This window comes from Homo sapiens, chromosome 9 (genome assembly GCF_000001405.40).
Source record: "Homo sapiens chromosome 9, GRCh38.p14 Primary Assembly".
Taxonomy (NCBI): domain Eukaryota; kingdom Metazoa; phylum Chordata; class Mammalia; order Primates; family Hominidae; genus Homo; species Homo sapiens.
In genome coordinates this window covers 6,832,686-6,846,421 of record NC_000009.12, presented here as the reverse complement: position 1 = coordinate 6,846,421, position 13,736 = coordinate 6,832,686, and the positions used below count along the sequence as shown (strand labels likewise).

At 42.9% G+C, this 13,736-nt stretch overlaps 1 protein-coding gene and 1 pseudogene across 21 annotated transcripts in view, besides 1 other annotated feature; both read right to left on the bottom strand.

Moving 5' to 3' along the window:
* The window catches only part of KDM4C (lysine demethylase 4C), a 454,786-nt gene that overhangs the window by 329,227 nt on the left and 111,823 nt on the right, over window positions 1–13,736 (bottom strand). The window contains exon 1 of one of the 21 annotated variants that reach the window (XM_047423026.1): window positions 2,777–3,059. The exons of the other annotated variants lie outside the window; for them this stretch is intronic. The gene's annotated coding sequence lies outside the window, so the exon portion shown is untranslated. Of the gene's footprint in view, window positions 1–2,776; window positions 3,060–13,736 lie in introns of those variants that run through there. 21 annotated transcript variants of the gene reach the window in all.
* ACTG1P14 (actin gamma 1 pseudogene 14) lies at window positions 10,838–12,014 on the bottom strand (annotated as a pseudogene).
* Window positions 11,100–11,821: an enhancer, noted in NCBI's record as "H3K27ac-H3K4me1 hESC enhancer chr9:6834601-6835322 (GRCh37/hg19 assembly coordinates)". NCBI's record gives its function as "activates a minimal SCP1, AML or CMV promoter by ChIP-STARR-seq in naive H9 embryonic stem cells {active_cell/tissue: H9 hESC(naive)}" and the evidence as "EXISTENCE:reporter gene assay evidence [ECO:0000049][PMID:30033119]".

Sequence of the window (13,736 nt, the reverse complement as noted above, 5' to 3'; positions counted from 1 at the left end):
AAAATGCACCTAGTTATCATTAAAGTGAAGTGTTATACAATATACTACCTCATTACACTATACACACTTGTATCTTACATTTATTCTAAACAATCCTATAAAATAGGTAATGTTATTCCCAAATGAACAAATGAAAAAATTAACACTCCTAGCTAGAAGTAGATGGTAATGATTAACCTAAATCTATCTGACTCCTGGACCTTCCCTTTTAAAGGTTTATGCTTCTAGTCCTGATCCTTTCAAAACACAACATATCATCCTCTTCTCTCAGCATCATTGTCAACAAAGATCTGAGGTTCAGGAGCAGCAAACACGTGAAGCTGCTGCATTCTTCCCACCAGAGGCAGTGCCACTCTACACAAATACCAGCAAGGCTTACACTGCAGACTGCTTCACTTGAGAGCAGGTGACAGGAATGATTTAGTGTAAAAGCAGTCTCCAAACCCCAGCTACACACAAGCCCCACAATGACAAGTTAGAATCTGCCGAACTGTTTAAAACTTAATTCCATCAGGTTTCAGCAGAAAGGCTGCACACCAGCCCAAGTTCACAGACAAAAGTCTCCTCCTGGATTCTGTCTCCCTCGAACAAAACTCTCCCACACATGTTCAGCAGGCACATGAGCAATATTCATAACTCACCTGACTTCCAATGGACTAACTGGAGTCCTAAGCCTGGGAGTCTACGTGCCCCGGCCCCTTTCTCCTTTCATGCCAATTACCCAGTTGGAGCCTGTCCTGCCCCATTCCTTTACGTATCCTGCATCTGTTTTCTGAAACAACTCACAATTGGACCACGATTTTTGCACACAGGTGTAACTGAGAACTTTATTAGGGATATTCCCTTTCAATCAGTGATAGTATCTTCCTCCTATCAGGAATCAGACAGCAGTTTAAAAGCACTCGTAGGCCAGGCACAGTGGCTCATGCCTGTAATCCCAATACTTTCAGAGGCCAAGGAAGGAGAATCACTTGAGGCCAGGAGTTCAAGATCACCCTGGGCAACACAGTGAGACCCCGTCTCTACAAAAAATTTTAAAATTAGCCAGGTGTGGTGCCTCACGCCTGTAATCCCTGCTACATGGAAGGCTGAGATGGGAGGATCAATTGAGCCCAGAAGGTCAAGGCTAGAGTGAGCCAGTGATTGCGCCACTGCACTCCTGCCTGCATGACAGAGCAAGACCCTGTCTCAATCAGTCAATCAATCAATGCATTCCTAAATCTTCAATGTCTCAACTAGGCCATCCTGGACTCTCTCCACAGTAACTGCACTCAGTCTCTGCAAAACTGAAGGGAACAACACAGCAACATGCCATGTTAGAAACCTTGAGAAATAATGAGCCATTTCCACCTACAGAAAGAAATAATGTGAAAATCATAGTAGCTCAATTTTTCCCAAAATATTTCCAATGCAACATTAGAAATATGGGTCCTAGGCTGGGCGCAGTGGCACACGCCTGTAATCCCAGCACTTTGGGAGGCCGAGGCAGGCGGATCACCTGAGGTCAGGAGTTCAAGACCAGGCTGACCAACATGGTGAAACCCCATCTCTACTAAAAATACAAAAATTAGCCGGGTGTGGTGGCACACACCTGTAATCCCAGCTATTCAGGAGGCTGAGGTAGGAGAATCACTTGAACCCGGGAGGCAGAGGTTGTGGTGAGCAGAGATCATGCCACTGCACTTCAGCCTGGGCAACAAAGCGAGACTCCATCTCAAAAAAAAAGAAATATCAGTCCTATCAGATGCCAAGGTCGAAAAACTTTGTCCTCTTTAACTCTAGCTCTTAAGACAGTCACAGTGCTGACAGGCACCCCCAAAAGCACTCATAAGGAAACCTGTGTAACTTCGTTTAACTCTGCATTTCCCAAAAATCATTTGACCACGGAAGCTTGTTTGTATAACACATTTACATCATGTAAAACAGTGCTGTGTGGGACAACATATTAAAGGAAGCCTTATGATAGGCGGTTCCCTAAACACTGTAGTGCAAATGTTTAAGTCAGTAAAACAAAAAATTACTGTGACCACATCAGAGATGCACTTCAGAACCCGGGGTGTGTGAAGGGGTGGCTAGAGAATGGTCACATTTATTGTCAAAATACACATATTTAATTTGATTATGTCACTAAAAATAAAATAGTGTAAATTAGAAAAACTTAAAACAAAAGATATTTGTAAATGAAGATAGTCCAAAGGATTAAAACTAGGAAAAGAGAAGACTCAATCCAACGTTATAAAACTATAAAATGTACTGAAAAACAGAGAAAAAGCTTTTTTAAAAGTACGTAAAAATGATGGTTTATGCCTGTAATACCAGCACTTTAGGAGGCTGAGGCAGGATGAACACTTGAGCCCAGGAGTTTGAGACGATCCTGGGCAATAAAGAGAGAGACCTCATCTCTACCAAAAATTTTAAAAAATAGCCGGGTATGGTGACACATGCCACAGGTCCCAGCTACTCAGGAGGCGGCTGAGGAGGGAGTTGAGGTTGCAGTGAGTCATGATTGTGCCACTGCACTCCAGCCTAGGCAACAGAGTGAGATGTCTCAAAAAGAAAAAGATGGCATGTCCATCAAATATTACAAAAAAGATTTTTTTAGACAAAAAATAGATTATTAGTAAACTTTTGAAAACTGTGTCACTGCTGCACTCACCCAGCAAACAGTAAAATGGAATGAAGAATTTCAATCTGAAAGAGTAACCGAGTATCAGAATAGCACCATGCTGCACTGGAATCAAAAGTTCTCCAACCAAATGCTGGCTCCACCACTCACCAATTATAGGATCTGATGGTTTCTCAATCGCCTTTCATGGCAGAGCTACGCCCAGGGTTCAGTGCTGCAAATTGGGCCACAAGAAGACTGTGGCTACCTTGAAAGGACCACAGGAAAAGTCCAGTCTTTCACTGAAACTGTTTTCAAGAAAATACATTATTCCTAGCAGAAGTGGAGAAAGCCCTAAGGCTTCCCAATAGTACATAAATCCACACATGCCTACCTTATAGGACAGTTGTAAAGAAAGGATTACAAAACACAAGTGAAAATATTTTGAAAAATTGCTTAAATTTTTCATTTTCAAAGATGGGGAGAGGGTTCAGACCACAGCTTTTTAGAGGGGCACCTCGACGGATTCACAGCCCATTCCACTTCAAAGAGGGCTGTCAGCATCCTGTTCCAAACAGCATGGCAGCAGGCCGGGCACAGTGGCTCATGCCTGTAATCCCAGCACTTTGGGAGGCAGAGATGGGAGGATCACCTGAGGTCAGGAGTTCAAGGCCAGCCTGGCCAATATGGTGAAACCCCATCTCTATAAAAATATAAAAATTAGCCAGGCATGGTGGCACATGCCTATAATCCCAGCTACTCGGGAGGCTGAGGCACGAGAATCACTTGAACCCTGGCGGTGGAAGTTACAGTAAGCCAAGACTGCACCACTATACTCCAGCCCGGGCAACAGAGCGAGACTCTGTCTCAGAAAAAAGAAAACAAAAAACAAAGAGTACAAGAACACAGCAGGAAGTGGAGAGCTGAGTAATAAAGCAGGACTTACAAACTCAGGTGCCCAAAGAGCCAGGCAGGTAACAGCAATTAGTGAAGGCAGCCAGGTATATGTCAAAAAACGTGGGTATTGGGGGTGATGTGTATTTGGAGACAACCTACTATCCTGTCTAAAGGAGACAGCCATTACTCAGTCACTGGGAATGCTGCCAGATTTTCTGATTTTTTTTAAGCCACAAATCCCAATTTTATGTGACATTAACCAACTTTTAAAAACATGTGGATCAGTCCTGGTGCAGTAGCTCACGTCCGTAATCCCAGCACTTTGGGAGCCCAAGGCAGACGGATCACCTGGGGTCAGTTCTAGACTACCCTGGTCAACATGGTGAAACTCCATCTCTACTAAAAATACAAAAAAAAATTAGCCAGGCGTGGTGGTGTGGGCCTGTAATCCCAGCTACTCAAGAGACTGAGACAAGAGAATCACGTGAACCCAGGAGGCGGAGGTTGCAGTGAGCCGAGGTTGCAGTGAGCCATGATCGCATGCCACTGCATTCCAGCCTAGGTGACAGAGCAAGACTCCGTCTCAAAAAAAAAAAAAAAAAAAAAAGAAATGTGGATAAAAGAAAATAAATCTGTGGCCAAATCTGCAAAAAATGTAGCAGGCATTAAAGAGTCCATACTTATTACAGTAATTTTAAAAGAATAAAGGAAGGAGGAGTTTTGGAGACAGGCTATAAATATGAAGTTAGTGGTTGTGAGCTTACTGCTTTAAAATGAATCATATATTTGTCCAACACTAAATAGCTCTATCAGTTACTCCATAAATGTGTCCAGTAACTGGAGTGAGACTATACAAGTGGTAGGAACCTAACAGGAATCCACTCTATGAGCATGTTTTATCTCTCTGTTCCATGATCAATATGCAAATGGCCAAAGAAAAACAAAGTAAAATGGCAAAACACAAAGCCTGAGCAATTAAGAAAACTGATAACCAGCTCCAGGATAAGTAGGATCTAGCACAGCCCTGAACAAAACTGTGTAACTTCTTAAGAGAAGTCTCTGTGAGGCAGCAGAATGGCAGGGAAGGTCTGCTAGAACTTAGCCATTTGCCAGGCACAGGTGATGATTCTGTGAACTGCACCAAAGACGGCCTGATCATGCATTCTGCTTTGTCCACCAAGTGGAATAGCTATAGTCACTTGCCCACAAACCTGAGAAACTGCTACAATATCAACACGGAGACTGTGGAAGCAGCCCTGGATGATTACTGAAACACTTCCAACTGAACACACAAAACGTGAAGATGTTCTTCACTCTGGCATATTTTAGGGGCTGCTTTCTCATTTGTTGTACATAAAAGCAGAGTTGGCTACAGAAAAATTGATAAACTGATACACACGATTATTACTAATCATATTTTTATGGTACTTTCCATATAATAGAAGAGGAAAAGTCTATATGAACCTTGTTCCCCAAAATTAGGTCAAAACCACTAACCTGTCACTCTCTCGCTAAGTCTTTCCATATCTTCACAGTTATCACTCTATATTCCATCCTCAACAACATCCTTCCCATTTCCTGCTGTCACCCTCAGCACCTTCAATATTATCCTCATGTGGCTGATTTCCAAACAAAGCTATGAGCCCCCATCTTTCTCCTGAGTTTCAGTGCCACAGAGCCAACTCCAAACTGGGCCAATAATGACCAATAAAAATTTTTGAAATTCAAGAATTCACAGGGGGAACTACCACTTCATTAGAAAATCCAATTATTAAAAAAAGATCTGCCACCTAGATTCTGTAAGAATCTGAGAAAATACTGAAAGAACCTGTTAAAGATTCTCAAGTTTCCAGGTCTACCCCGTAACTTAACGAAGTCATCAAAAAGAATATACAGATGGGCAGGACTACAGTCTTTCTTCCACCACAAAAATGCCATCACCAAGTTACATTTAGATGTGCTCTTGGTCTTTCCAAGGGCTGACATAGCTAGCACCCATTTAAATTGCCTCTCTCAAAGCTTGCTAACTGTAGAGCTGGGGACATGTCTTCTACCTAACAACATGGCATGCACCACCATCTCACATAGAATTGGAAAGAAACAAGAGGTGGGATAACCCCCATGCTAGGAAAACAAAAGCAAAACATCATTTCATTTTACAGATGAAAGGAAGGTGCCCAGTCAGTAACTTACAGGACTCCTTATTTGAAAATTAGAACAGAGGGCTGGATGCGGTGGCTCATGCCTGTAATCCCAATGCTTTGGGAGGCCGAAGTGGGGGCGGATCACAAGGTCAGAAGTTTGAGACCAGCCTGGCCAATATGGTGAAACCCCGCCTCTACTAAAAATACAAAAATTAGCCAGGCGTGGTGGCAGACGCCTGTAGTCCCAGCTACTCGGGAGGCTGAGGCAGGAGAATCACTGGAACCTGGGAGGCAGAGGTTACAGTGAGCCAAGATCCCACCACTGCACTCCAGCCTGGGCGACAGAGTGAGACTCTGTCTCAAAAAAAAGACAAAAAAAAGAAAAAGAGAAAATTAGAACAAAGGCCAGGTTCAGTGGCTCGTGCCTGTAATCCTAGCATTTCAGGAGGCCAAGGCAGGCAGATAGCTTGAGCCCAGGAGTTCAAGACTAGCCAGGACAACATAGCAAAACCCCATTTCTATAAAATACACAATAATTAGCTGGGCATGGTGGCACCCGCCTGTAGCCCTAGCTACTCAGGAGGCTGAGGTAGAAAGAGCACCTTAGCCTGGGAGGTCAAGGCTGCAGTGAGCCATGATTGTGGCACTGCACTCCAGCCTGGGTGACAGAGTGAGACCTGTCTCCAAAAAAAAAGAGGAAATTATAACAGAACAGTTAGTCTCCTCAACAGCAAATGTATCATCTGTCCAGTATATCATAGCTCTTTGTAAACAATCCCCTCATAAATACTGGAATTGGTCTCATTTTTATATTTCAGCATTGTGACATGGTGTTTCTCATTAACCCATTAATGTGAAGCTTTTTATTTTTTTGAGATGGAGTCTCACTCTGTCACCCAGGCTGCAGTGCAGTGACGCGATCTCTGCTCACTGCAACCTCCACCTCCCAGGTTCAAGCGATTCTCCTGACCTCAGTCTCCTGAGTAGCTGGGATTACAGGCACATGCCACCACACCCAGCTAATTTTTATTTGTTTTAGTAGAGACAGGGTTTCACCATGTTGGCCAGGCTGGTCTCCTGACCTCAAGTGATCCTCCTGCCTCGGCCTCCAAAAGTGCTGAGATTATAGGCACGAGCCACCATGCCCAGCCACATGTCTTAATTTTTAAGTGTAAAAACACTTTAAAATTTTAAGTAAAAAACACTCATTTTTAAGAATTTTAAAAAGACAAATTTGGCCAGGCGTGGTGGCTCACACCTGTAATCCCAGCATTTTGGGAGGCCGAGGCGGGAGGATTGCTTGAGTCTGAGACTTTAAAACCAGCCTGGGTAACACAGTGGGACCCTATCTCTACCAGAAAAAAAAAAAAAAAAAAAAACTGGCCAGGTGTGGTGGCAAGCGCCTGTAGTCCCAGCTACTAGGAAAGTTGACGTGGGGGAATGGTTTGAGCCCAGGAGGTCACGGCTGCAGGGAGCAATGATGGCGCTACTGCACTCTAGCCTGGGTAACCGAGTGAGACCCTGTGTCAAAGGGAAAACAACAGACAAATTTATGCCTTTCCTCATTTGACTTGTATCATCCCGTTTTAGGACTCTTATCCAAGCCCACATTAGAAGACTTTGTCTTTAAAGAAAAGACCATCCACCAAACTCCACTACTGTGCTGGCAACTTAAAGCTAGGCTAATGTAAAATACTGCCACAAATTCATACAGCTGGAACAAGCCCTTGAAGTTTCAAAGGTAACACGCATGGAGAAAAAATAACATAAAATTTGGTTAGTTCTTTAAAGATTTCAAAATTCAATCCATTTCACACCATAGTGTATAGTCTTTTCTCCATAAAAGAAAACAGTGCCTTCTAATAACTAAATTGAAAGTTCTGGTCTACACTTTAATATAGACTGAGGATTTCCCTGGATCTTTACACAATGAGAATAGATCCGTATGCAGTACATTTTGCTTATAGTTAATCATAATGTTTGACATGATAGCTTTTTTGCTGCTTCTTTCTAAAAATGTACTCCTTAAATCTTTATTTTAAAACAAAACTATTTTCCCTTTTGCATTTTTATACACCAAATACCTACGATTTTACAGCACTGCTTTCTGTTTTAGAATTCTCAACAACAACCATCATATAGCAAGTTTTGAAAGAAAAATAATTCTGCAGTGAAAGTGCCACATAAAAAGATAAAGGCAAATATGAGTACAAAAAGGACAGAGAAAAAATGGGGAAAACGTCCAGTCAAATAAAAGACTGCAGTGAGCTTGAGACTCCCACCTTGAGTCTAGACTACTGATAGTGTGAAGTTAATGGAGTTTCCTGGTTCCAGGCAGAAATAACTCCAATCCTCTTGGGAGAAAAGAATCATACATTTAGATCCAGAATTATTCCACAAATTAACATCAAGTCTACGCATACAAGCAAAGATCACTGTGCATACCGGGAAGAAAGCCAACACTGCAGAGAGATAGCGCAAATAATGAACAAATTGTTCAGACCAGCCCCTCAAGCAGGACCACTAATATTGAGTTGTCTTATTCTGTCGTCAAGGAATAAGAAATGTTTAAAGAAATAAAAGACGGAATTGCTAAGACAAGCAAAGAAAAATAAAATATTTGGAATGTCCAGTCCAACCTGAAGGAGAGGTGAACTCCTAGAAAAGAAATATATCATTATTAAACTAAAAACTCAGTGAAAGAGTTAAATAAGAGAAACAGTTAACCAGTATTAACAAGCAAAAAAAGTAGTTAACCAGAATATAATATTTAGGACATTAACATAGTACAGTACAGAAATACAATGAGATTGAAAGTCTGAAAGGTAAGTTAAGCAATACTGAGGATAGAATATGCAACATTATAAGACAGAATCTAATCAGTCCAGGAACAATGAGAAATACAAAAAAACTAAATAAAATAGTAAAAATCTATTAAAATTAAAATTAAGACATTTGTTCATTAAAAGACATTGTAAATAAGACAAACAAAATAGTGAAAAGAATAGCCACAACTAGAGCAAATAATTCAACAAATATAACTGGGATAGTTTTGGTATCCAGAATAAAGAATTCCAAATAAAGAAAAAGCCAAAAGATCTAATAGAAAAATAGAGGACAGTTCATAAAGACAGGAATATGAATGGCCGATAAAGACATGAAAAGATATTCTAAGCCATTTTTAATCAGAGAGGTGCAAATTCACATAACATATTTTACAGGCACAAGAATGACATCAAGTAGTAAGATATTAAGCGTGAAGACTGGATCAGCATGAAGAAGCTTTTAAAGCTGATGGAAATGTTCTGCGACTAGACTGGTGATGGCTGCACGAAAATCACTGAAGTATACACTTAAAATGGGTGAATTTTGTATTGTATAAATTATAGCTCAATAAAGCTGTCTTAATAATGATTATAAGCTGGGCAGAGTAGCACACGCCTGTAATCGTAATACTTTGGAAGGCTGAGGCAGGCGATCACTTGAGTCCAGGAGTTTGGGATAAGCCTGGGCACCATGGCGAAACCCCATCTCGACAAAAAATACAAAAATTAGTTGGGTATGATGGTGCAAGCTTGTGGTCCCTGCTACTCAGGAGGCTGAGGTGGGACGATCACTTGAGCCCAAGAATCTGAGGTTACAGTCAGCCAAGATCGTACCACTGCACTCCAGCCTGGTTGACAGGGCAAGACCCTGTCTTAAAAAAACAAAAATGATATACAGTGCTAAAGGAATATAAAGTGATACAAACTCTTAGAAAAGCAATTCAACAGTATCTGGTAAAGTTAAATACTCTATGAGCCAGCATTTCCATTCCTACGTAAATACCTTTGAGAAACTTTTACACATGTACATCAGGTACCATGTATGGGATGTGTTCACAGCAACAATATTTATTTTTAAAAAAAAAGAAAGAAAATGTTCACTGGCAGCAGAATAAAAAAAAAGTTGTAAATTCACAAAGTAGAATATTATACAGCAAAGAAAATGAATGAACATTACAATAGCTTACAAAATAATATGGATCAACTGGGAAATACTGTTAGGTGAAAAATATCAAAGACCCAGAAAACTACACAAAGTGATACTATTTTTAATAAGGTCAAAAATAAGCCAAACTAAACATATTGTGTTAAAATACGTGCATGCATGAGAAAACTATTTTTTACAAGGCAAGAAATCAAACACAAAATTCAGGCCACCCCAGAGTGATGGGGGTGGCATAGCAGGAAAGGACTAAAAAAGAGTGGTTGGTCCCTGAGCAGTGCTGTTAATGTTGTAGTTGTTGACTGCATGGTGAGTTTGGGATATTCAAAATCATTATGCTTTAAAACTTAAATATATTGTACATATATAAATCAAATATTAAGATTTCAACAAGCTGATTTATTTATTTATTTTTTTGAGACAGAGTCTTGCTCTGTCCCCCAGGCTGGAGTGCAATGGCATGATCTTGGCGCACCGCAACCTCCGCCTCCCATTTTTTTGTAGAGATGAGCTTTCACCGTGTTGGCCAGGCTGGTCTTGAACTCCTGACCTCAGGTGATCCGCCCGCCTCAGCCTCCCAAAGTGTTGGGATTACAGGCGTGAGCCACCACACCCAGTGATTTTTTTAAGTTGTGCACTTTTATTCAACTGGTCTCAAGTCAGTGTACAGGTAAGCCCTGGCTGCCTGTACCCACTCCCAGGGAGACCAAAAGCCTTCATACATCTCAAGCTGGGGGACAAAAGAGGGGGGCCACGAAGGCTGATCATTCAAAATAAAACAAACTTAAAAAGTATTAAGGCAAAAATTTAAAAAAATTTGCATTACCTAATTTACAAGAAACCTCCCCTATGTGGACTCGGAGGAGGACTAGGCCATTCTCCTTAGACACAAGTCGGGTGGCTTTTAGGAGGGCAAACAACTTCCTGTAACAATGCATCTCACGATATTTGGAATGACTATTAAAAAAAAGAACAATGTACAAACAAGAAATAGAGTCCTCAGCCACACTGCAGAAATTTGGGGGATGTTCACTCCAACCGACTGCTGTCACCTTCACCGTTCCAGTTTTTAAATCCTGAGTCAAGCCAAAACAAAAACAAAAACAAAAACAAAACAAAACAAAAAATAAAGCCATGCCAATCTCATCTTGTTTTCTGCACAAGTCAGGTTTTGTCAAGAAAGGGTGTAACACAACTAAGTCACAGTCCGCCTAGAAGCATTTGAAGGATGGATGATGGAGCCGGACTCATCATACTCCTGCTTGCTGATCCACATCTGCTGGAAGGTGGACAGCGAGGCCAGGATGGAGCCGCCAATCCACACAGAGTGCTTGAGCTCAGGAGGAGCAATGATCTTGATCTTCATCGTGCTGGGCGCCAGGGCGGTGATCTCCTTCTGCATCCTGTTGGCAACGCTAGGGTACATGGTGGTGCCGCCAGACAGCAATGTGTTGGCGTAAAGGTCTTTGTGGATGTCCACATCACACTTCATAATGGAGTTCAAGGTAGTTTCATGGATGCCACAGGATTCCATGCCCAGGAAGGAAAGCTGGAAGAGTGCCTCAGGGCAGCAGAACTGCTCGTTGCCGATGGTGATGACCTGGCCGTCAGTCAGCTCATAGCTCTTCTCCAGGGAGGAGCTGGAAGCCGCCATGGCCATCTCCTGCTCGAAGGCCAGAGCAACATAGCACAGCTTCTCCTTGATGTCACGCACGATATCCCACTCAGCCGTGGTGGTGAAGCTGTAGCCACGCTCGGTAAGGATCTTCATGAGGTAGTCAGGTCCCGGCCAGCCAGGTCCAGATGCAGGATGGTGTGGGGGAGGGCATATCCCTCGCAGATGGGCACACTGTGGGTGACCCCGTCACCGGAGTCCATCACGGTACCAGTGGTACAGCCAAAGAAGTACAGGGACAGCACGGGCTGGATGGCCATGTACATGGCTGGGGTGATGAAGGTCTCAAACATGATCTGGGTCATCTTCTCGCGGCTGGCCTTGGGGTTCAGGGGGGCCTCGGTCAGCAGCATGGGATGCTCCTCGGGAACCACATGCAGCTCCCTTTAGAAGGTGTGGTGCCAGATCTTCTCCATGTTGTCCCAGTTGGTAATGATGCCATGCTCGATGAGGCACTTCAGGGTCAGGATGCCTCTCTTGCTCTAGGCCTCGTCGCCCACATGGGAGTCCTTCCGACCCATGCCCACCATCATGCCCTGGTGCTTGGGGTGCCACACGATGAAGGGGAAGACGGCCGGGGGTCATCGTCACCTGCGAAGCCAGCCTTCCACATGCCGGAGCCGTTGTCGACGACGGGCGTAGCAATATCATCATCTATGGTGAGCTGGTAGCGGGTGTGGACAGGCAGCAGAGCAGTGAGGGCCAGGGTCTGTGCTCACGGGGCGGACGTGGTCTTGGCCAACAAGATGATTTTTAAAATCATGACAAAGAGACTATCGGCCAGATGGGGTGGCTCATGCTGTAATCTCAGCACTTTGGGAGGCCAAGGCGAGCAGATTGCTTGAGCTCAGGAGTTCCGAAATCAGCCTGGGCAACATGGCAAAACCCTGCCTCTACTAAAAATACAATTAACTGGGCATGGTGGCGCACGCCTGTAGTCCCAGCTTTTTGGGAGACTGGGGCACCAGAACCGCTTGAACCCAGAAGACGGAGGTTGCAGTGAGCCAAGATTGCATCACTGCACCCCAGCCTAGGTGACAGAGCAAGACTATCTTAAAAAAAAAAAAAAAGACTATCTCTTGAGTCATATCCCATGAGGCCACTTCTGTCCTGGCACCACACACGGCAGGATCTTACTGACAAGAAGATAGTGGTATATTTCTCAAAAACGACAGAGGCATTTTCTTAAGCAGTGACTCCTAAACAAACATTCTTCACGGCTCTGACAGATGTCAAAAAGTATAAATCACTGGGCTGCGGATTGGACAAACTTAAAATGGCAACCGCAGAACAGAACTCTTCACAATTCTCTTGGTCAGAATCAGCTAGTGAATAACTATCTCGTTAAGGCCTGGAGACTTCTGTCTTGCTTTGCTTTAGTACTGCCACCTGCAGCAGCTAACACTGATTCAGTACATACCAGGGAGCAGGCCCTGTACGAGGTGTTTTATTTATGTCACCTCATTTTGTCCTGCCAGCTAAACACTACCATCAACTATTATCAACACTGTTTTATAAATGAGGGGACTGCAGCAAAGACAGATAACTTGCCAAGACCTCACAGTTCATAATCACAGGGCCGGGGTTCAAGGGTGAGAATGAAAATTCTAACCCATGCTGGCTCTATTGTTTCTGAAGCCACGTGGCCAAACGATAAACCAGTAAGTCAACTCTGACTACACACTTTTTATATCATCAGGGAGGGAGAAACTTCCCTCTATCTCCCAATATCTAGGAAAGTCAGTACTTTGGTAACTACATTTTCTATTTTTTTTAAAAGACTCCCTGTCAAGAAGATGTTTTTAAAAATACTGGCATAGAGGAAGTGCAGGATATACTCACAGATATGCATTCTGTTTTTTAAAAAAAATAGGCTAAATAGAAATATTAATTTTATTTTACATATCTACAGATGGCTCTTGTAGAAAATCCTAAAGGGGCCCAAACCATATGAAGCCCCCCTTTAAAGGAGATCAATTATCTCAACATATACTAAAACAGCCATATCCCATGCTCAGAACCATCAAGGTACCTTTACATATGAAAAATTTAAAACACAATAATCTATACTACTTTACGACCAGGCACAGTGGCTCACACCTATAATGCTAGCACTTTGGGAGGCCGAGGCAAGCAGATCACCTAAGGTCAGGAGTTCAAGACCAGCCTGGCCAACATGGTGAAACCCCATCTCTACTAAAAAAAAAAAAATACAAAAATTAGCCAGGCAAGGTGGTGGGTGCCTATAATCCCAGCTACTACAGAGTCTGAGGCAGGAGAATCCCTTGAACTCAGGAGGCAGAGGTTGCAGTGAGCTGAGATTGCACCATTGCACTCTAGCTTGGGCAACAAGAGCAAAACTCCATCTCCGTAAAAAAAAAAAAAAAAAGGCCGGGCACAGTGGCTCACGCCTATAATCCCAGCACTT